General features: G+C 58.5%; 2 protein-coding genes across 8 annotated transcripts in view, besides 18 other annotated features; one reads left to right on the top strand and one right to left on the bottom strand.

The window, feature by feature from the left end:
* The window catches only part of MGRN1 (mahogunin ring finger 1), a 66,147-nt gene extending 63,393 nt beyond the window's left edge, over positions 1–2,754 (bottom strand). For all 5 annotated transcript variants that reach the window (NR_102267.2, NM_001142290.3, NM_015246.4 and 2 more), the window contains exon 1: positions 2,532–2,754. Coding sequence is in view for 4 of the 5 variants with exons in the window: in NM_001142290.3 (NP_001135762.1) it covers positions 2,532–2,619 (88 nt within the window). In the remaining variant the exon portion in view is untranslated. The remainder of the gene's footprint in view (positions 1–2,531) is intronic.
* Positions 906–1,434: an enhancer, noted in NCBI's record as "H3K27ac-H3K4me1 hESC enhancer chr16:4676147-4676675 (GRCh37/hg19 assembly coordinates)". NCBI's record gives its function as "activates a minimal SCP1, AML or CMV promoter by ChIP-STARR-seq in naive H9 embryonic stem cells {active_cell/tissue: H9 hESC(naive)}" and the evidence as "EXISTENCE:reporter gene assay evidence [ECO:0000049][PMID:30033119]".
* Positions 1,965–2,494: an enhancer, noted in NCBI's record as "NANOG-H3K27ac hESC enhancer chr16:4675087-4675616 (GRCh37/hg19 assembly coordinates)". NCBI's record gives its function as "activates a minimal SCP1, AML or CMV promoter by ChIP-STARR-seq in naive H9 embryonic stem cells {active_cell/tissue: H9 hESC(naive)}" and the evidence as "EXISTENCE:reporter gene assay evidence [ECO:0000049][PMID:30033119]".
* Positions 2,263–2,492: a silencer, noted in NCBI's record as "silent region_7160". NCBI's record gives its function as "represses an Ori minimal core promoter by ATAC-STARR-seq in GM12878 lymphoblastoid cells {active_cell/tissue: GM12878}" and the evidence as "EXISTENCE:reporter gene assay evidence [ECO:0000049][PMID:35858748]".
* Positions 2,495–3,025: an enhancer, noted in NCBI's record as "H3K27ac hESC enhancer chr16:4674556-4675086 (GRCh37/hg19 assembly coordinates)". NCBI's record gives its function as "activates a minimal SCP1, AML or CMV promoter by ChIP-STARR-seq in naive H9 embryonic stem cells {active_cell/tissue: H9 hESC(naive)}" and the evidence as "EXISTENCE:reporter gene assay evidence [ECO:0000049][PMID:30033119]".
* Positions 2,495–3,092: a biological region, named in NCBI's record as "H3K27ac hESC enhancer GRCh37_chr16:4674556-4675086".
* Positions 2,678–2,972: an enhancer, noted in NCBI's record as "tiled region #9899; HepG2 Activating DNase matched - State 1:Tss, and K562 Activating DNase unmatched - State 1:Tss". NCBI's record gives its function as "activates a minimal TATA promoter and a strong SV40 promoter by Sharpr-MPRA in HepG2 and K562 cells {active_cell/tissue: HepG2 | K562}" and the evidence as "EXISTENCE:reporter gene assay evidence [ECO:0000049][PMID:27701403]".
* Positions 2,733–2,912: a silencer, noted in NCBI's record as "silent region_7159". NCBI's record gives its function as "represses an Ori minimal core promoter by ATAC-STARR-seq in GM12878 lymphoblastoid cells {active_cell/tissue: GM12878}" and the evidence as "EXISTENCE:reporter gene assay evidence [ECO:0000049][PMID:35858748]".
* Positions 2,983–3,092: an enhancer, noted in NCBI's record as "active region_10342". NCBI's record gives its function as "activates an Ori minimal core promoter by ATAC-STARR-seq in GM12878 lymphoblastoid cells {active_cell/tissue: GM12878}" and the evidence as "EXISTENCE:reporter gene assay evidence [ECO:0000049][PMID:35858748]".
* Positions 10,959–11,188: a silencer, noted in NCBI's record as "silent region_7158". NCBI's record gives its function as "represses an Ori minimal core promoter by ATAC-STARR-seq in GM12878 lymphoblastoid cells {active_cell/tissue: GM12878}" and the evidence as "EXISTENCE:reporter gene assay evidence [ECO:0000049][PMID:35858748]".
* Positions 11,239–11,498: an enhancer, noted in NCBI's record as "active region_10341". NCBI's record gives its function as "activates an Ori minimal core promoter by ATAC-STARR-seq in GM12878 lymphoblastoid cells {active_cell/tissue: GM12878}" and the evidence as "EXISTENCE:reporter gene assay evidence [ECO:0000049][PMID:35858748]".
* Positions 11,239–11,907: a biological region, named in NCBI's record as "NANOG-H3K27ac-H3K4me1 hESC enhancer GRCh37_chr16:4665674-4666245".
* Positions 11,336–11,907: an enhancer, noted in NCBI's record as "NANOG-H3K27ac-H3K4me1 hESC enhancer chr16:4665674-4666245 (GRCh37/hg19 assembly coordinates)". NCBI's record gives its function as "activates a minimal SCP1, AML or CMV promoter by ChIP-STARR-seq in primed H9 embryonic stem cells {active_cell/tissue: H9 hESC(primed)}" and the evidence as "EXISTENCE:reporter gene assay evidence [ECO:0000049][PMID:30033119]".
* Positions 11,908–12,480: an enhancer, noted in NCBI's record as "NANOG-H3K27ac-H3K4me1 hESC enhancer chr16:4665101-4665673 (GRCh37/hg19 assembly coordinates)". NCBI's record gives its function as "activates a minimal SCP1, AML or CMV promoter by ChIP-STARR-seq in primed H9 embryonic stem cells {active_cell/tissue: H9 hESC(primed)}" and the evidence as "EXISTENCE:reporter gene assay evidence [ECO:0000049][PMID:30033119]".
* Positions 12,432–12,671: a silencer, noted in NCBI's record as "silent region_7157". NCBI's record gives its function as "represses an Ori minimal core promoter by ATAC-STARR-seq in GM12878 lymphoblastoid cells {active_cell/tissue: GM12878}" and the evidence as "EXISTENCE:reporter gene assay evidence [ECO:0000049][PMID:35858748]".
* Positions 12,692–18,696, top strand: UBALD1 (UBA like domain containing 1). 3 transcript variants are annotated; one of them, NM_001330467.2, is made up of 3 exons: positions 12,692–12,902; positions 17,025–17,087; positions 17,672–18,696. In NM_001330467.2, exons 1-3 carry the CDS (start codon positions 12,783–12,785, stop codon positions 17,945–17,947), a joined length of 459 nt encoding a protein of 152 aa, NP_001317396.1. In that variant the 5' UTR covers positions 12,692–12,782; the 3' UTR covers positions 17,948–18,696. The 3 variants fall into 3 exon arrangements, with proteins under 3 accessions (NP_001317396.1, NP_660296.1, NP_001397961.1); NM_145253.3 differs by having other exon boundaries at positions 17,597–18,696; NM_001411032.1 differs by having other exon boundaries at positions 12,692–13,087; positions 17,597–18,696.
* Positions 13,012–13,111: a silencer, noted in NCBI's record as "silent region_7156". NCBI's record gives its function as "represses an Ori minimal core promoter by ATAC-STARR-seq in GM12878 lymphoblastoid cells {active_cell/tissue: GM12878}" and the evidence as "EXISTENCE:reporter gene assay evidence [ECO:0000049][PMID:35858748]".
* Positions 13,152–13,261: a silencer, noted in NCBI's record as "silent region_7155". NCBI's record gives its function as "represses an Ori minimal core promoter by ATAC-STARR-seq in GM12878 lymphoblastoid cells {active_cell/tissue: GM12878}" and the evidence as "EXISTENCE:reporter gene assay evidence [ECO:0000049][PMID:35858748]".
* Positions 13,342–13,511: a silencer, noted in NCBI's record as "silent region_7154". NCBI's record gives its function as "represses an Ori minimal core promoter by ATAC-STARR-seq in GM12878 lymphoblastoid cells {active_cell/tissue: GM12878}" and the evidence as "EXISTENCE:reporter gene assay evidence [ECO:0000049][PMID:35858748]".
* Positions 15,843–16,478: an enhancer, noted in NCBI's record as "H3K4me1 hESC enhancer chr16:4661103-4661738 (GRCh37/hg19 assembly coordinates)". NCBI's record gives its function as "activates a minimal SCP1, AML or CMV promoter by ChIP-STARR-seq in naive H9 embryonic stem cells {active_cell/tissue: H9 hESC(naive)}" and the evidence as "EXISTENCE:reporter gene assay evidence [ECO:0000049][PMID:30033119]".
* Positions 18,697–20,126: the final 1,430 nt, after the last annotated feature.

The raw sequence follows: 20,126 nt of genomic DNA, 5'->3' as shown, positions 1-20,126 counted from the left end.
TCCTGACCTTGTGATCCGCCCGCCTTGGCCTCCCAAAGTGATGGGATTATAGGCGTGAGCCACCGCGCCTGGCCAGACGACTGCACAATTCTATAATTTAACTAAAAATCATCAAATCATGTTTACAATGGATGAGTTGTGTGGTACATGAACTACATCTCAATAAAGCTATGAAGAGTAAAACAGATATAGTGAAAACAAAGCAAATATTAAATTCAAGCTGAGCGCTGCTGCAGAACATGCTGAAAGTTCCCTTAAGAAAAATGGACAGTGTTAGGTGTTAAAAATGCATATATTACCACCCAGTGACTCTTTCTCCTTGACATAATCAACAAAATTGACAGAGATGTGAAAAGAAAGCTTTCTCATCGGGTGATTGAATGGTCCATGGGGGCAACCCCTAAAATCATCTCAAATGTCTCCACGGTCCCCGGTCTGCCCTTGGGGAAACACACCAAAATGCTGCTGAGGCCCGGCCTGCCTCCCACCCTTGACCTGACGGAGTTCTCATTAAGGAGACAGGAGAGGCGGGGAGTCTAGGAAACCAGTGCGGCACAAAGGCAAGGACCAGAAGAGATGAACAAAGAGAAGAACAAGTATCTGCAAGGCCCCAGGGAAGGATGGAGAAGAGAAAGGGAAAAAGCACAGCTGGAGAGGACCTGTGGACTGGATGGGCGCAGAACACTGCTGGCACTGGCAACATGACCCAGGCAGCTAGCTGATGGGTTGCACCTGGGTGCCAGTGCCAACCAATAGTGGCTGACGCGAGTGTTCTGCGATGGATGCTCAGTGGGAGGGAGGGCCACGAGTGATTAGCAATGACATTTCAGCCACAGTGGGATCCCGAAGCGGGCTGTAAATGACATGTATGTTATTCTGTTCAGCCCAAGTGAAGAACGGACATCAAGTGAGCTCAGGTCCCAGGTGACAGGAAGTGCCACTCAACTTTTTGATATCTGTGTCATGCCACTGCTTACTATGATTATGGTCATTAGCTAGTCACTTATCTTCCTTTATGAGCAATTGTAGCAGCTACCATTTGGGGACTTCTGAGCCAGGTGTGGTTCTGAGGGCTGTATAAGCATCAGCCCGTTTTACAGATGAGGAAACTGGGACCCAGGGGGTTAAGCAACCTCGACCAAGGTCACTCAGCCAGAGGCAGGCTGGAAGAATATCAGAGATGAAAGAGGACAACAGCAAACTGCTCCATCTGATGTAGGGCCATCAGCCCTCGGAACCTCTAGGGAAACCCCAGGGTGGAACCACCCAAAGGCCAGGCTGACCCGCTGCTGGGCCTGGGATACAGCTGTGCTCTCCCCAGCAGGCAGGCAACAGTGCGTTCTGCCTAGCTCTGAGTCCATCCCCTTCAGAGTGCCCCCAAACTGTGCTGGTTCCCCTCACTTCATCCCAGTGGCCCCAGGCCCTCACCTAGTCACACCTTACAAAACCTGGGCAGAGCAGTTTTTCAAACCTGAGTGGACGTAAAACTCACATGGGGAATGGGTTGAAAATGCAGGTTCCCAGGCCCCAAGGGGTCCCAGGCAGGCCCTGGCATGTCTAGCAGTCCTCCCCCACTTGTGGACCTGGCCCACACTCAGAGAAATCTGGCCTGTGGGTGTCCGGAGACACCCAGGAGACTGAGACATCAGATCAGATGAGACGCCAGGATCTGAGGACCCAATCTAGATGTCCCCATGATGCCCAAGTTCTCTCTCCTCTTCCTTCTCTCCTTTCCACCACAAAGAACCCCACGAGGAGATGGAGGGTGAGACTTGGAGCTAGATGCTCCCAGTCAACACATAACTCATCAATAGAGGCAGAAAGAGAGCTGGGAACAAAGCTACGTGGGAGCCCCACAGCTGGTCCCGGTCCCAACTATGCTTCCATCCAGCTGAGATCTTGGCAGTCACTTCCTCCTTGGTGTCTTACGTCCCTCAGCCATAACACAGAGGCCCGAGTATCGGCTGGGTCCTCTCAGCAAGGACCCTGGCCCCTCCCGATCAACTATAATCGTCTCCTTGGGCCCAGCCCCACTCCTCCAACCCACACACCAAGAGCCTCCGTCCTGATGGGAGGGAAATTGCCCAAACCACTGGCTCGGCCTTCACACCAAGCCACTAAAGAAAGCGAAAGCCGGCCCCCGCGGTGAGGTCAATCTGATGACAATGAGAGTTTTCTAGGCAGAAGCGATGCGCCGGGACCCGCGCTCAGCACCCCGCCCCGCCCTCGGGGTTTCCCCCAGGAGCTCCCCCCTGTTGCAAGGACGGAGCTGAGGTGCCCGGGGCGAAGGGACTGCCCCAAGGTCACCCAAGCCGGGCAGTAGCAGCGCCAGGTACGGCTCGGGCAGGTTCCTCCGGGGCCCCCAGCCACGCCTAGGGATCGGGGCCGTGGGGCCGCGCGAAGGCTCGGGGTAGCAACGAGGCCCGGAGGGGGCCGAGCAGGGCGCCCCGCCCCGAGTCCCCGCCCCCGCGCCCGCCGGGTCCGCGTTCCAGCGCGTGCCTAGCAGTCCGCGCCTGGGGCCGGGCGCTCACCGGACTTCGGAGGGTAGCGATAGGCCGAGTTCGCCTGGATGTCGATGTCCTCCACCCCCGCGATGCGGCGGCTGAGAATGGAGCCCATGGTGCGCGGCGCTGCCGGGCAGAGGGGCCAGGGCCGGAACGGGAGCGGCGACAGCGGCGGGGTCCTCACGCGGACATGGCCCGGACCAGGCCGCACGGACGCTCGTCCACGGCCGCGGAGGCGCCTCGAGCCCCCACCCCCGGCTCGGCCCGGGGACCGACGCCACGGCGGCCCTCCGCCTCCCGGTCCCGGGGCACGTCGGGAAATGGAGTCCTCTCGCCGCCGAAGGCGCCGGGAAGCAGCGCGGGAAGCCCGTCTGGGAACTATCTTTCCCAGGATGCTCCGTTCCCAGGCCCTCTGACGGGTTGACAAGCACTCCGGGACAAACCAAATGGACCTAAATTCAGAGGGAAGGAACCAACCAACCACAGGGCAAATGGTCCTTCCCTCTGCGTTCCAAGCGCTGCACTAACATATTAACTCTTTGGTCATTTCCTCATCTGTTCGCTTACAGACTCTCCTGGAGCCCCAGCGCCTTCCACTTGCCCCCTCTGAAATAGCTCCCTGAGTCGCTGTGGTTCTCCCCACTCCCCTGAGTTTGTCTCCCGCCCCGACCGGCAGAGGGCGTAGCTGCACCTGCCACCCGGAGCCCACTTGCAGGGTGTGCACGGAAGAAGTGAAGCACCTGCTTTGGCCTTGGCCAGAATTTGAGGACTACCATTTGGGGACTTCTGAACCAGGTGTGGTTCTGAGAGCTGTATAGGCATCAGCCCGTTTTACAGATGAGGAAGCTGGGATCCAGGGGGTTAAGCAACCTCCGGCCCCCTGACAAGGCTGAGGCCCGGTGCAGTGGCTCACCTGTAATCCCGATACTTTGGCCCCACGTCTGGACCAATTAGTTTAAAGACATAATTTCACAGCCTCCACGGAAGGCAGTAGACTCTCCCACATTTTACACACAGGGAAACTGAGGCACAGAGGAGAGAGAGCCGCATGAAATGGCGCTGCGGGCAAGATTGCAAGAATCGCTTTCAGAATGAAAACCTCGCAGTGTGCAAGGTGTTCCCTGGCTTTTGAGTCACACACAGCTCTGCAAATAGATCGCTTTTTACCTACTTTTCAGTTGAGGAACTTGGATTCTGAGCAGAGTGATTTCCCAAGTCAAGCCTGCTGTACCAAGAAAGCAGCTAGGGAGGGCAAGGCAGACTGAGTCTCCAATGGTCAATTCACCACAGTCCATGTGGAAATGCTTCTTATACCCTTCCAGAGACCACAGTCCAGGATCCAGTCTTCCTCTTTTTTTTTAAATTGTTCTGTCGCGCAGTCTGGAGAGAAGTGGCACAATCTCAGCTCACTACAGCCTTTGCCTCCCGTGTTCAAGCGATTCTCGTGCCTCAGCCTCCCCAGTAGCTGGGATTACAGGCATGCACCATCACACCCAGCCAATTTTTGCATTTTTAGTAGAGACAGGGTTTCACCATGTTAGCCAGGCTGGTCTTGAACTCCCGTCCTCAAGTGATCCGCCTGCCTTGGCCTCCCAAAGTGTTGGGATTAGAGATGAGCCACTGCACCTGGCCTCAGACTTCCTCTTGTCAGGGGAACTTGGGAAGCCAAATGAGTACGGCAGCCAAGAGACTTGTGTGATTATGATGCAGGTCCAGGTCTTGGAGGAGCCTGATTAAATCTCCCTGCCCCACAACCAAGATCCACACTTACTGAGCATTATGTGCCAGGCATCATGCTGAGGGCTCTGCACATATCCTCTCATATAATTCTTTGATGTTGGCCGGGCGCAGTGGCTCACACCTGTAATCCTAACACTTTGGGAGGCCGAGGCAGGCAGATAGCCTGCACCCAGGAGTTCCAGAACAGACTGGGCAACATGTCATGACCCTGTCTCTACCAAAAATGTAAAAATTAGCCAGGTGTGATGGCACGCCCCTGTAGTCACAGCTACTCTGGAGGTGGAGGCAGGAGCATAGCTTGAGCCTGGGAGGTCGAGGTTGCAGTGAGCCATGATCATGCCACTGCACTCCAGCCTGGGTGATAGAGTGAGACCCTATCTCTAAAAAGGATAAAAATTTTAAAAAATAAAATATTAAAAAAACAGGCCAGGCACTGTGGCTCACGCCTGTAATCCCAGCACTTTGGGAGGCCGAGGCAGGCATATCACTTGAGGTCAAGGGTTTAAGACTAGCCTTGCCAATATGGTGAAACCCTGTCTCTACCAAAAATACAAAAAATTAGTTGAGCGTGGTGGTGCGCGCCTGTAATCCCAGCTACTGGGGAGGCTGAGGCAGGAGAATCGCTTGAACCTGGGAGGTGGAGGTTACAGTGAGCCCAGATTGCGCCACTGCACTCCAGTGGGAGTGAGAGAGCGAGACTCTGTTTCCAAAAATAATAATAATTAAAAAACAATTATCTGGCCAGGCACAATGGTTCACGCCTGGAATCCCAGGACTTTGTGAGGCCGAGGTGGGCGGATCACCCAAGGTCAGTTCAAGACCAGCCTGGCCAACATGGCAAAACCCCCATCTCTACTAAAAACATAAAAATTAGCTGGGTGTGGTGGCATGTGCCTGTAATCCCAGCTACTCGGGAAGCTGAGGCAGGAGAATCGCTTGAACCTGGGAGGTGGAGGTTACAGTGAGCCAAGATTGCCCCACTGCACTCCAGTGTGGGTGACAGAGCGAGACTCTGTTTCCAAAAATAATAATAATTAAAAAACAATTATCTGGCCGGGTGCAATGGTTCACACCTGGAATCCCAGCACTTTGGGAGGCCGAGGTGGGCGGATCATTCAAGGTCAGGAGTTGGAGACTAGCCTGGCCAACATGGCAAAAACCCGTCTCTACTAAAAACAAAAATTAGCTGGGTGTGGTGGCACGTGCCTGTAATCCCAGCTACTCGGGAGGCTGAGATGGGAGAATTGCTCGAACCTGGGAGGCGGAGGTTGCAGTGAGCGGAGATCGCGCCACTGCACTCCAGCCTAGGCGACAGAGCAAGACTCTGTCACAGAAAAACAATCTGATGTAGATTCTATTTCTATTACCAATTTACAAAACAGTAAAGTGAGGCTCAGAAAAATGAAGTACCCTAATGAGGTTGCACAGTAGGTGGGTGGCACAGCTGGAATTGAGCCAGGCCACTGCTCTTACCTGGGCACGTCCCTGCCTCCACAGAGGCATGCTCCAGAGTGCCAGATTGCCAGGCTCTTGCCCCCAGATGGATGGGCCTGAAGCCCCCCACCCATTGTGATCTCTCTTCATTTTATATTTCTTTCCATTGAATCACGTAACTCACGTACATGTACATGTATTTGTGTATCAACGCTGCATTCAACTGACTGCCCTCCTCATTTGCGGGGAGGAAGGGAGAGTCCTGAGCATCAGCTGTTCCCACTGAAAAACAACACTAAGAGCATATCCTCCCTATGGAGCCTGTGCCAGAGCAGTCATTTCCACCAGGTGGATGTTTCATTAACTCTTCTTCTCAACAGAGCTTTGGACTCAAGGTGTCCTCAAAGCCCTTTCAGCAGTATTTTTCTGTGCTTACCCACACCCAGATGGAAGACAGGCCCTTCCCGATTTGGTCCAAGTTCCATTATCAACATCTGAGTGGATTCATTTATTTTTATTTATTTATTTATTTATTTTATTTTTTTTGAGATGGAGTTTCGCTCTGTCGCCCAGGCTGGAGGACAATGGTGCAATCTCGGCTCACTGCAACCTCCGCCTCCCGGGTTCAAGCGATTCTCCTGCCTCAGCCTCCGTAGTAGCTGGGATTACAGGCATGTGCTACCACGCCCGGCTAATTTTGTATTTTTAGTAGAGACGGGGTTTCTCCATGTTGGTCAGGCTGGTCTCGAACTCCTGACCTCAGGTGATCTGTCCGCCTCGGCCTCCCAAAGTGCTGGGATTACAGGCGTGAGCCACCGTGCCCGGCCTGGATTCATTTATTTATTTACGTTTGGAGACACAGTCTCACTCTGTCACCCAGCCTGGAGTGCAGTGGCATGATCATGTGGGATCTCGGCTCGCTTTAACTTCCGCCTCCCAGGTTCAAGCGGTTCTCCTTCCTCAGCCTCCCGAGTAGCTGGGATTACAGGCACCCACAACTAATTTTTGTATTTTCAGTAGAGACAGGGTTTCACCACGTTGGCCAGGCTGGTCTTTAACTCCTGACCTCAGGCAATCCCCCCACCTTGGCCTCCCAAAGTGCTGGGATTACAGGCGTGTGCCGTCATGCCTGGCCAATTCATTGATTTATTCAACAAATATTTATCCTGCAGCTACTATGTGACAGGTGATGAACCAGGCAACAGGCATCAAATGGTAGGACAAGCTAGACATGGAGGCTGCAGGCAGGTGAGGAAATAGACGCTAGAAAGGTTAACAAGTATATAATTCCAGAATGTGGTGGGTGCTCTGCAGAAAACGTTGAGATGCAATTAATTGACACTATTGGCAGGGGAGTCAGGGAAGGGGTTTTTTTGAGGAGGTGACAGCTAAGCCAGGACTTGATTTATTTTTTGTTGCTGTTGTTGTTGCTGTTGTTTGAGACGCAGCCTCACTCTGTTGCCCGAGGTGGAGTGCAGTGGAGCGATCTCAGCTCACTGCAACCTCCGCCCCCTGGGTTCAAGCAATTCTCCTGCCTCAGCCTCCCGAGTAGCTGGGACTACAGGCGCGTGCCAGCACACCCAGCGAATTTTTGTATTTTTAGTAGAGATGGGGTTTCACCATGTTGGCCAGGCTGGTCTTGAACTCCTGACCTCAGGTAATCTACCCACCTCGGCCTCCCAAAGTGCTGGGATTATAGGCGTGAGCCACCGCGGCCGGTTGCTAAACCAGGACTTGAAATACAATTAATAGCCAGCCAGGCAAAGTGTGAGGGATTAGGCTGCTCCAGGTTCTAGGTAGGGGTAATGGCATATACAAAACCTCTATAGTGGGAAAGAACTGAGTACGGCACAGGACTAGAATCAAGTGAGGGAGATGGCAAGGCAAGGGCCAGATCTTGCCTCACATTCAGCCAGCATTGGGCTCTCTGAAACGTAAAGACAGGGCCAGGTGCGGTGTCTCACGCCTGTAATCTCAGCATTTTGGGAGGCCAAGGCAGGTGGATCGCTTGAGCCTAGGAGTTCGAGGCCAGCCTGGGCACCATGGCAAAGCCCTGTCTCTACAGAAAATATAAACATTAACCAGGCGTGGTGGTGCACATGTGTAGTCCCAGCTACTTGGGAGGCTGAGGTGGAAGGATCCTTTGAGGCTGGGAGGTCGAGACTGTAGCGAGCCATGATTGTGCCACTGCACTGCAGCCTGGGTGACAGAGTGAGACCCTGTCTCAAAAATAAAATAAAATGAAAAAAAAAAAAAAAGAAACATAAAGACAGACGCTGGAGACGACTGGTGGCTTCCTGGTCTGAGTGCCTGAGTCTCAAGTCTAGACTTCTCAACCCCCTGAGTGGGCAGGATCCTGGCGTATTCTGGTGCTCCCAGAGCCAGGCACCCGGTGGGTGTCTGATAAGCACATCTGTGGAATAAATCAAAGAATGGGGTGAGGAGGAGGCGGCCAGGGCCCTGGGCCCCCCATGGACTGGCCATGTGAAGTCTGGCAAAGCCTTGAACCTCTTGGGCCCTCAGGTGACATAAGGGCACTGCTGGAAATGCCTTCTCCTCTCCCTCCCACTAGGTGCTGGCCCCAGCTGTCAGGTTCCATCCCAGCCTGCTAAGGAATCCAAAGTTCATTCTCCAACCAGGCTAATCCTGGCTAAAAACAAGGTTGTTTTTTAATTCCCTGTTGCCCGTGGAAAAACAAGCTGGCTTAGGGGATGGGGGTGAGGGGGTTGCATGGAGACCAGTAGGGTGACCTTTGACTCTGCCAGCCCCACCTGCCCAACTCTTGCCAGCCTGCTGGCCTGAGAGAGATCCTCCTGAGCTGGGCAAGCCTGGGCAGGCAGCTGAGTGGTACCTGGACGATGGTGGAAGGAGGGGTGAAGGCACTTCCTGCCTCCCTATGCAAGGCAAGCCCTTAGTGGGCCCTGCCGGGACAGTGTCCCTCCTCCCTTGCCAGAAATGCACCATGGGTGCCCGCTCTTCTCCACAGGTTCTGAATGTCAGAGGGTAAGGCTGGATTCCAGCCTCAGTTTTATCTGTAAAATAGGGCTAGGGCTTCCCAGAGTGGTCCAGATGGAGGCAAACAGGTGAGAGCACTAGAACCGTGCAAATAGCACCAGGCCCTGCACTCTGCATTTTACAGGCATTAATCTTCCACAGCAGTGAGGCCAGAACTCAGCCCCGCCAGTGAGAAAGTGAAGCCCAGAGCTCTGGTAACTCGCTCAACATTAAGCATTAAGTCATTAAGCAGCGGAGTCAAGCCTGACACCCAGGTCTGTCTAGCTCCCGAACCTGCCCACCTTCTACCACACTGTGTTGTCGTCCTAGTGGTAATTATTATAGCGGGAATCATATTCAGAGCTGGTTTTTACTGTGGGCCTACCCTGTGGAGCACTTTGCCCATATTAATTCATGCATATGAGCTTTGCAAAGGTTAAGGAGCAACTCTTAGCAAGAGCAAACATCTCTTGGAACCATCAGGGTTTACAAAATACTGTGGCCCCTAAGTGATCCGCAAACAGCAGGAAAGAATTTTAAACTGTATTTCCCGTGGTCAGATGGCTTCTGCCGAGGCTAAGTGCCTGCCTGGGAAAAGCCAAGACTCAGTGTCCGCCCCTTGCCTATAGGCCAGGCTCCCAGCCCCAGCCCTCAGAGACCAACTCCACTGCACCCTGACTCCCTTCCCTCCCCAGCCCTCTCCGCTATCTCAGTGCCCCAAGCCTTCCCCACCACCCTACCCTCCCACCCCAGGACATTTCAGGTCCAGTCCACTAGTTCCCCTACTGTCCTCCTCCCACCACCCAATGGGAGAGTCCTTGGTCAGGCTTGAGGGGCCCGGGTAGGAGCCGCAGCTTGAGGCAATTCCCTCCATTCCATCCAATTCCGAAGGCAGGGCAGACTCCCCTGGAACCAGACACATCAAGAACGTCGCCTAGTTCAGACCGGAGCTCTCCACCACCATCTGATCCCAGCACAGCCACAGCCACAGTGATCCCAACGTGTCCAAGGGATCAGATCTGTTTACACATTTCAGTATCCCCTAACTCACCCCCAGGGCCAGTGCCGGCCTCCCTAGGGCATTTTTTATTTTTTGGAGACAGGATCTTGCGCTGTTCCCCAGGCACAATCACGGCTCACTGCAGCCTCTGACTTCCCAGGCTCAAGCAATCCTCCTACCTCAATCTGTAGCTGGGACTCCAGAATTTTTTTTTTTTTCTTGAGACAGTCTTGCTCTGTCGTCTAGGCTGGAATGCAATGGCGCGATCTCAGCTCACTGCAGCCTCCGCCTCCTGAGTTCAAGCAATTCTCCTGCCTCAGCTTCCCCAGTAGCTGGCACTACAGGCGTGTGCCACCATGTCCGGCTAATTTTTGTATTTTTAGTAGAGACGGTTTGACCAGGCTGGTCTGGAACTCCTAACCTCAAGGGATCTGCCCGCCTCGGCCTCCCAAAGCGCTAGGATTACAAGCGTGAGCCACGGCGCCCGGCCAATTTTTTTTATTTTTTATTTTTTGTAGAGACGAGGGTCTCACTATGTTGCCCAGACTGGTCGCAAACTCCTGGACTCTAGTGATCCGCGCCCATCTCGGCCTCCTAAAGTGTTGAGATTACTTACAGGTGTGAGCCATGGAACCCAGCTAATTCTCTGTTTTTTTGTTGTTGCTTTGTTTTTTGGTTTTTTTTTTTGAGACAGAGTCTTGCTCTGTGGCCCAGGCTGCAGGGCAGTGGCGCGATCGCGGCTCACTGCAACCTCCGCCTCCTGGGTTCAAGCGATTCTCCTGCCTCAGCTTCTGGAGTAGCTGGGATTACAGGCGACTGCCACCACGCCCGGCTAGTGTTTGTATTTTTAGTAGAGAACGGGTTTCGCCGTTTTGGTCAGGCTGGTCTCGAATTCCTGACCTCAGGTGATCCGCCAGCCTCGGCCTCCCAAAGTGCTGGGATTACAGGCGTGAGCCACTGCGCCCGACCCGAACTCAGCTAATTTTCTTAAAATGTAAATCTCTGTAGAGGCGTGTTCTCAAAGTCCTGGGCCTAGGCAATCCTCCCTCCTCGGACCCCGAGTAGGTGGGATTACAGGCCACCGCGCCAGCCCGGGAGGGCATTTTCCATCTTGCAAGGCTATACTCGTCCTCCGGGTTTCCGAAATTCGCTCCCAACCCCAGCCGTTCTCACAGCCCCCACCCGGCTATTGCTCTTCTGTCGCCCCACGCTAGGTCAGGGCCAGGAAAAGAGGAAAGACTCAACAAATAGTGTCTCAACGAAGGAGGCTGGGGCCAGGGGGCGCAAGGAGCCGGACCAAGGTCACCTAGAGCTGCTATGATCGCGCCTTACCGCCCCCGGGCGCTCGAAGCGGGCTAAAGCCTCACTAGCTGTCAGCAACGTCAACCGGAAGCGCCATGTGCCGGTCTGTAAACACCGCCCGGTCGCCCCGCCCCCGGCTCCGCCCCCGGCCTCCCCGGCCCAGCGCCCGCCCCCGCCGCCTCTTCATTGGGCGACCAGCTTTGTTTACCTTATATGGCCAGGTCCTAACACCCCGAGGCTGTCCATTGGTCGAGGCACGACCTCACTCAGCTGACGTCACCGGGACCAAACGATGCAAATAAACCGAGGCATTCTGGGAAAGGGAGTTTGGGGCCGCTCCGGAACTGGCTCTGCCGGGCCTTGGCGCCCGCCCGCTAAGGGCCGAGATTTCCGGCAAAGAGCACGAGATTTTGCGTGGGAAAGCGGGAGAACTGCTGGGAGGGGGACCCCGAAGCACCAGAGGCTGCTGGCCCCGCCAGCCTGTCCCAGGCGCCGTCCAGAGGGTCATGGGGCTACAGTGGGGCAGGCCCAGAGCCAGGCTAGGAAGGACCCATGCCACGAGTGGGCGATGAGAGATTGAGTGAGGAGAGCTAGGAGGCTAGCTATAGGCGGTGACGTGCGGCGGAGCTTTTAAGTGGCTCATTCATTCATTCACTGAACGAGTATTTGTCGGCGCCTACAGTGTGCCGGGCCTTTCAGCCTAGACCAGCCGATTTGGGCCAAAATTCCTAGAGACCCCTCTCTTAAGGGCGTGCCTACTATTTAACACAGAGCGATGCCAATCACAGAGGGGTTCAGGGTCCCTAGGTCTTAGCAAAGACGCCTGTGGCCCGGCGTTTGCGCCCATGCACAGATCTGTATGCCCCACCTTGGGACCCCAATTCGTGCCAGAGCAGGGGCACGGGTGCCACCGAGAGCAATGAGGGCGACATGGACGTGCCTGGCTCTGGTCACGGTCTGGACAGCTGCGCACAGTAGGCACTTAGCGTTCAGTCACAGTCCCCGGGGCATGGCAAAGACGTCTGTGGCCTGGCGTTTGCGCCCATGCACAGATCTGTGGCCCCGGCCTCTGGGCTCCTAATTCCCGCCAGAGCAGGGGCGTGGGTGCCACCGAGAGCAACGAGGGCGACGTGGACGTGACTGGCTCTGGTCCCAGCTCAGGCGCCTGCACACATTAGGCACTCAGTTTTCAGACACCGTTCCTGGGCCTTGGCAAAAACGCCTATGCACGAACCTGAGGCCCCCGCCTGCGGACCTCCATCCGTGCCAGAGCAGGGGCCGGGTGCCACCCAGAGCAACGAGGGCGACGTGGACTCCCCCAACCCTGGTCACGGCCCGGGCATCCACACACAGTAGGCGCTCACAGTTCAGACACGGTCCCCAGGCCTTGGCCAAGATCCTGTGGTCAGGCATTTGCGCCCATGCACAGACGTGGCCCCCGCCAGCGGACCCCCATCCGTGCCAGAGCAGGGGCACGGGTGCCACCGAGAGCAACGAGGACGACGTGGACGCGCCCGGCTCGGGTTACGGCCCGGACATCCGCACAGCGGGCGCTCGGTGCTCAGACACGCCCCTTCCCGGGCTTCGCGTCCCCTAGGGTGCCGGCCCCGCTCCCCCGGGGCGCCCGGCGCACCGTGGGGACTACATATCCCAGCATGCCGCGGCGCCGGCGGAGCGAGGCGAGGCGCGGTGAGTCAGAGCCGCACAGTAAATATTTGTATTAGCCGGAGCCGGCTCGCTAATGGTGGACGCGTGAGGCGGAGGCGCGGGCGGAGGAGGGAGGCCGGAGCGGGCAGCGCGGCGGCGCCATGTCCGTGAACATGGACGAGCTCAAGCACCAGGTCATGATCAACCAGTTCGTGCTGACGGCGGGCTGCGCGGCCGACCAGGCGAAGCAACTGCTGCAGGCGGCCCACTGGCAGTTCGAGGTGCGCGGCGCCGGAGCCGGGCGAGGGCCGGGGCCACGGGCGGAGTGTGTCCCGCGTGGCCGCCGGGCGGGGGCGGACGGCGTGGACGCGTGCCGGCTGTGCGCCCCCTCCGGGCCGCAGACCCGACCCGCTTTCCCGACGGCGGTGCCCGGCGTCCGGATCCCAAGGGCTCGCGGCGGGCGGAGGTGGGAACCGGGCCACCGGTCGGGGATACGCCGCCCCCGCGGGGCCGCGAGTCCCCCGGGATCGAGACGGGGACCCCCCCCACCCCTTTTGTCCGGGTAACGGCCGAGGGCCGGGCGGCCCCGCGGTGCAGACGGACAGTCGGGCGGGCGGCCGGAAGGAGGACGCCCCAGGCCTCGGCAGAGCTGGGCCGGAGGGCGGAGCCGCTCCGGGCGAGTGGTCCGAGGGTCCGCGTGCCTGGTGGGCGGTCGGCGGCGTGCGCACACGTCCATGTGCATTTGTGTTTACGCACGCACCGCGCCACGGCGTCGGCCGGGCACCGGGGAGGTGGCGGACCTGCGGGCACGTTGGCGCGCGTGTGAACGCGCAGCCCCCTGGTGCGTTTGGTGTGTGATCAACGCGTACACATGTGGCGGGTGTGCAGATGCCGCCCGTGCCCGGCACGGTGTGATGTGTGTACACGGCCTGGAGTGTAGGGGTGGCGTGTCGGAGCCCCACACTACACCACAGGGATGAGCGTGTATCCCCTTCAGAGGTGTGCCTGGGGACTCCGTGTGCGCGACTAGGTGCTCTCCTGGGGCTGGCAGGGGCATCTGTCCCTTTACCGGTGCAATGGGGAGGGTGCACACGGTTCACCAGCTTTCGGGCTAGCTGGGTAGGAGGTGATGCTGCCCCGGTCTGGCACCCACTCCCCCGGGCCTCTCCTAACCCATAGGACAGTAGTGCTCCTGGCTTGTGCTGCCCAGAGGCTACCTGGCTTTCCCTAATTCACCGACCCCAGGATTAACCCCATGGTGGTTGGTATCAGGGGATGAGGCCAGAGCCCTTTGAGCTGTGCCCCTCACAGGGGTAGGGTCATGGCCTCAGCCATCCCGGTACCATCTGTGCCCAGCCGGGGACTGGGAACCTGGTTTCTCCATGAGGAGCCATCCCAGGGCCTGCAGGAGGGACTAGAAGCCAGAGGACTCTGAGGCTCCGCTTCCTGGGGACTGCAGGGGGATCAGAATGTCCCAAGCTTGGGACAGTCTGGGAAGGCAGTGGCCATCCCATCCAGATGAGTACATCCCTCTCTCCTTGCCTACTTCCCTCCTACCAGCCGTCGCGGAGGCCACTGATCCTGTGTGGTGTTCACCCCAGGACGTGGGAGGCTGCTCTGTCCCTCTGGCCTTAGTTTCCACATCTGTATGGTGGGGTTGGGGGGCATGAGTCAGCTTCTGTTGGCCAGCTTACTGCCCCCTGTGCCCCAAGGCAGCCCCACCCGGAGGAAGCTCCCTGCTTCCCTCCTGGTCTCCACAGCCCTCATCAGCCCTGTTTGTGTCAGGGGCTGGATGTGGCAAAACTTGCAAAACCGCATTCATGGCAGTTACACATCTGCACGCAGGGTTCCCTCGCTGCCTGGGGCTGGGCAGGTAGGTGTCCGGTGGGAAGCGGGCCCTGCCTGCAGGACTCAGCCCAGCCCTCAAAACCTGGCACCCAGCTGGCACCCAGGCCACATCCCTCAGCGGCACAGTTAATTGAAAATGCAGCTTTGAGGAGTGCAATGTCTGGGGAAAGACTGTTCCCAGAGGGGCAGGAGCATCTGGGGCCTCTGGTGGCTCCCAGGGTCCCCATGGGAGGAGCCCTGTGCCCTCCACTCCCAAGTCTCAGTTGTGCCATCTGTAAAGTGGGGGCCGCCAGGGAGGCTGGAGGAAGGTGACGGGACTTCAGGCCTTGGAATGGGGCTGAGTGAGGGGTTCACATGGCCACCCCATCCCTCTCCACGCTCCACCCGCTGGCTGCATCCACCAGGCGGTGTTTCTGGGTCACATTTGCTGCAATTCAGGTGCTAATGGGGGCAGGAGGCTGCAGGGGGAGGGGCCGGTGTCTAGTGGGGCAGATGTTTCTCAATGGAGAATGCTCACAGCGGCCTGCAGAGGGGGTCTGGTGTGGCCTGGGGCTCCTGGGGTTGGGATTTACACAGTGAGCCTGGGCTTTGGGGCACAGCTGCTGCTGACAGAGGGTCTTGGGGTCTGGGAAGGTGCTTAAAGCCCGGCCCCCATGCCTGAGCTCCCACACCCCTGTTTAGGGACACCCAGATAGGGTGTCTCCTGCAGGAAATTCCCCACATAATTCATTTATTTAAAAAATATTTTTTGCCGGGCACGGTGGTTCATGCCTGTAATCCCAGCACTTTGGGAGGCCAAGGTGGGCGGATCATGAGGTCAAGAGATCAAGACCATCCTGGCCAACATGGTGAAACCCCATCTCTACTAAAAATACAAAAGTTAGCCAGGTGTGGTGGCACGTGCCTGTAGTCCCAGCTACTCGGGAGGCTGAGGCAGGAGAATCACTTGAACTAGAAGGCAAAGGTTGCAGTGAGCCCAGATAACGCCACTGCACTCCAGCCTGGTGACAGAGCGAGACTCCGTCTCAAAAAAAAAAAAAAAAAAAATCTAAATAGCCTCCCACCCATACCCCCTGATCGAGGGCAGGCCCCAGGAGCCAGGCTGGATTTCTGGGTGTGCTGGGCCTGGGAGGGCCAGGAAGTCAAGCTGGCATTAGGGGAGTGGGCCTGAGGGGTGGCGGTAGGGGCACCTCGGCGGCTTGAAGCTCCAAGTCTGGGCCTGGGACTTGGCAGGGCCCCGAGAACCCCTCAAATACTTGTGGGGCTCCCTCACTGGCCCTTGCGCAAGAGCAGCCTCCGTTTCCTGGGACAGGCCTCCCCACCCCTGCAGGGCCTCAGCCAGGACATAGCAAATCCCAGCGCCTCCCTCTGGGGCTCCTCAGTTCCCAGTCACCAAGGACCTCTGGAGCCTGCTGAGCTGACACACACAGGAAAGGGCTCCAGGCTCGCTCTGTCTCCCCCACCTGTCCTGGCCTTTCTGAGCGCCCCCATCTCTGTCTTCTGCCGACCAGCTGACCCTGAGCAAGTCACTTCCTACCTTCATTTCCCTGCCTGTAAGACAGCAGTCCCTGCCTGTGGGGTTAATGATGACAGTCCACGGCCCCGCTGGGATGGAGCCCTGCTGGGTGCCCGCACCGTGCTCAGTGTGGCATGCGGCCCGGGTGTGGAGGGAGACGGTGGAGCATCCCGTGCCTAGCGTGGTGCCAGCCAAGGGCGGGTGGCTGGGGAGCTGTGCTGGGAGCTGTCGTAAACCCGTGGTGGCTTTGATCCTAGGGCCGTCTTTCTGCTCCACTTCCCGGGCACTGTTCCGAGGGAGGCTCAGGTGGGGAAGCGAGTGAGCCTAAAGCCCAGGCTTGTCTCCTTGGTGCCAGGCCCTGCTTGCTGGAATCTGGTGATCTTAGGAGGTCACTGTTGCAAGGGAGGGGACCCAGGAGCCACCTAGTCGAACCTCTTTGTGGTACAGATGGAGAAACCAAGGCCCAAACAGTGGCCCCCTTGATCAGCCAGAAGCAGAGCTGGGTGGGGCAGCAGGGGATCCCCACCACCAGGCTCAGACTCCTTCAGGATGCTTTTGCTTCGCAGATGAGGAGACCGAGGCTTAGAGAAGAGTAGAGACTTGCTACCCGTTGAGGTGGTAACAGCCAGGCTAGAATCTCCTGAAACGGGGCAGGGTGGGGAGGTCTGGTTGGGCTACCTGGGGCCGGGCGCCTTTCCCCCAGGATGGGGTGTACTGCCCGCCCTCCCCCAGTCATGGTGCTGGTGCCAGCTGGTGCAGGGGGAGGGCTCTGCAGGCCTTAGGCACTGAGGCAGGTGGCGAGCAGCAGGGGAAGGGTCTTCTCCACCCACCCCAACTGCCCAAGGTTCCGTGGCTCCTCCTTAGACAGCAGTGAGGGTTGGGGGTGACAGGCAAGCCACTGAGCCTCAGCACCGCGACTCACCCCTCCCACTCAGCAGTCCAGCCAGGGTCATCCCCAGCCTCAGAGGAGCCTGGGAACAAGGGCAGCGGCAGGGCCGGCGGGGGCCTGGAGGGTGAGCAGGGGCCTTTCTTCCTGCAGACAGCCCTCAGCGCCTTTTTCCAGGAGACCAACATCCCCTACAGCCACCATCACCACCAGATGGTAAGTGTCCCCGGAGTCCCCAGTTCTGGATTGGGCGGAAGGAGGCCGAGCTAGTTCTGTGTATAAGCAGCCCCTGGCCCCGGTGTACGAGGGCGCTGGTGCAGGCGGGGCTCGACCTCTTTGGAGATGGGTCAGCAGGAGTCCCGGCTCCGTGGGTCCTGCACTTAATCTTGCCTGTGCCAGCTCCCCCTGAGACCTGGGGGGCGCTGGCCTCTGGGGCAATGAAGCTCCTTACCCTACAGCCCCCGGGGATGCTGTGGCTGATGGAAAGGGGTGGGCTGGGAAAGCCTCGTGGCCCCAGGCACCGTGGGCTCCTGAGAGTGAGGCTGGGTCGGTTCATCTCAAGGCTTCTCCTCTGGGAACCCCTGGGCGGCGGACAGGCTTGGGGATCTGGGGAAGGAACACAGAGCCTTCCGAGAATGGGCCAGCCACGCATCTCCCCTTGGGAGGCAGTGGGGGCCCCTCCAGGAAGGGGTGCTCACCCCATCTCTCCTCTCTTCCCCTCACAGATGTGCACCCCCGCCAATACCCCTGCTACACCCCCCAACTTCCCTGACGCTCTCACCATGTTCTCCCGTCTCAAGGCCTCCGAGAGCTTCCACAGCGGTGGCAGCGGCAGCCCGATGGCCGCGACAGCCACGTCACCCCCGCCACACTTCCCCCATGCCGCCACCAGCAGCTCTGCGGCCTCCAGCTGGCCCACGGCGGCCTCGCCCCCGGGGGGCCCACAGCACCACCAGCCACAGCCGCCCCTGTGGACTCCAACACCCCCTTCTCCGGCTTCAGACTGGCCACCCCTGGCCCCCCAACAGGCCACCTCAGAACCCAGGGCCCACCCTGCCATGGAGGCAGAGAGATAAGGGAGGCCCCTCCCCCCTCCCGGAGGCCAGGACCCCGTGGGGCGGGGGAGAGGACGTCTCTGCGGGCCCCCTTCACCCCTTTTCTGTCTGCACCCCTTGTTCCCCGGAGCCCTGGAGGGGAGAGCGCGGACTCTAGCCAGGCAGGGACACGTCTGGTGCCAGAACACGCAGCTGCCCACACGCAAGGTCATGGCCCCAGCGGCCCCGGCACATGGAGTGGTTCAGCGCGGCCTGGGTGCCTGGCGGACAGAACTTCAGAGACCACGCAGCCTTCCTTCGAAGACGCACCTGCCCAGCCCAGCCCAGGGGTGCCGTGGAGGACCACCCTGGCAGAGACATTGCTGATCCCTGGCTTGGAGCTCCTTGGGGGCCGGCAGGCCTCGACCCCCACCCTAGGGAATGCAGAGCCTCTCCGCATGTGTGCGCGTGGCCGTGTCTGTGTATTTCTACGTGTGTCGCTCTTCAGAAGCAACCTAGTTCCTGGGGCAGCTGGACTTTGCATGTTAGTGTGAGCCCCCAGCCCCCTGCCCGCCGCCCCCTCCCCAGGGCCCTGCCTCCTCCCCACCCCCTCGTCAGCCAGCGTTGCTGTTCCTTGCAGAGAAAAGGATTGTGGGAAACTCCAGGACTCTTCCCACCGCCTCCCAGCGCCTGCCTGCTGGGGCTGCCTGCATGCCTCCCCTGCACCTGGGGGTACCCGCATCCACTTCCTTTCCCCCTTTTAACAAAAGAGAAGAACGAATTCCAAACCACTGCCAGGCTCTGTGGTCTTACCTTGTATACGAGGCTTGCTGCCAGCTGGTTCTGGGGGCCGCCGCCCAGAAGACAGGGCCACCCCGAGCCTCCCCGGCTCCACACTGCTGCCTGTAGCCCTTGTCAGCCACAGCGTGCTCTGGAATCTTCCTGCCCACCCAGGGCTTTTCCTGTGAAGTTAGTTCCTGGCCTGGGTCCCCATCCTGTCGGCCCACCCCTGCCCCTGCTTGGCTGGACAGATCCCGGCGCCCAGTTAGGAGTTCGCAGGGCTCACACCTGCCTTCTGTTGTCCTGGGTTTCATCTCAGGACTTTTCTCGGTCTCGGCTCCAGTGGCTGGGCACAGGCTGGACCCTCTGAGCCCGGCCTCCAGCACACACTGGGTAGGGCAGGGCCTCTGGGCAGAGGGCAGACAGAGCCAGGGAAGCTTGCAAGGGGCAGAGGACGAGGCAGGGGACAAGGATGGGGCGGAGTGCTGCCAGCAAAGGGGGCACAGATGTTGGGTCACTTAGGAGACTGGCAACCCGAGGCTGCCTGGGATGAGCTGGAGCAGCTTTGGGAGAATGCACCCTCAGCCTCACAGCTCCCCAAGAGTGGGCTTGGACTTGGGGCAGAAGGGAGACTGGGGCCTCTGCAACACCCCCACGGGACTCAGCTCACAGCTCCTCAAGGGCAACACCCACTCTGTCTAAGATAGCACCAGCCCCTGGCGGAGGCCCTGCCGGCTGGGTGGAAGAGCATCTTCTCTTTCTGAAAGTCCCGTGCTCCCCTGGCGTCCGACACTCCCCACTGACCCTTCCTGGCTCCCAGGGATGTGACTGTGCCTCTCAGGAAGCGTGCCTCGGTGCTCTTGCCACACCAGTGCCTGGCTTCATCTCCTGGTTGGAACCTGCAGAGGCTGTGTTGACAGAGCCCACCTGGGACAGCTGCTCACTGGCTGCTTGGCACTGGCGACTGGCTGCTGTGACCTCCGCTCAAGCCGCACTTGCTTCCCAGGAATGGGCCCTCCCAGGAATCTGCCTTTGTAATAGCCTTTCGGAGCCCACAGGACGGGTGATCCTGGCCAGCCAGCTAGCCCCCTGCATCCGCCTGGGGTGCCTGGGTAGCAGGGGAGGGAGAGAACGTGGCAGGAGGAGACGGGGGGACATATCTGGCCTCCTGAGTCTTTACTTTGCAGCTCCTCGATTCTTTGATATGGAAAAAAAATTCTCAGGAAACTGCCATAGCCGCCTTCCAGTGGTGGGAAAAATGCTTTGCAGAGAGAAGTGTTTTGGGGTAATCTGCAAAGTGGGGTGAGTGCCCCTGGACTCTCCCACCTCACATGCTGAGGTAGCTGCACGTGCCCGCCATGCATGAGGCAGCGCTGTCCAGGACTCTGCACAGTGTGAGGCTCGTGAGTGCTGTGTTTTTGTTTTTGTTTTTTGAGACGGA

This window comes from Homo sapiens, chromosome 16 (genome assembly GCF_000001405.40).
Source record: "Homo sapiens chromosome 16, GRCh38.p14 Primary Assembly".
Classification (NCBI taxonomy): Eukaryota; Metazoa; Chordata; class Mammalia; order Primates; family Hominidae; genus Homo; species Homo sapiens.
The sequence above is the reverse complement of the archived record's forward strand: the minus strand, read 5'-3'. Positions and strand labels throughout refer to the sequence as shown.

Bases quoted from the DNA above. Each gene is read 5' to 3' on its own strand.
- UBALD1 (NM_145253.3), top strand. From the start codon at position 12,783: ATGTCCGTGAACATGGACGAGCTCAAGCACCAGGTCATGATCAACCAG. The intron at 12,903-17,024 runs GTGCGCGGCGCC...TTCTTCCTGCAG, and splicing joins CGGCCCACTGGCAGTTCGAG to ACAGCCCTCAGCGCCTTTTT. The intron at 17,088-17,596 runs GTAAGTGTCCCC...TTCCCCTCACAG, and splicing joins GCCACCATCACCACCAGATG to ATGTGCACCCCCGCCAATAC.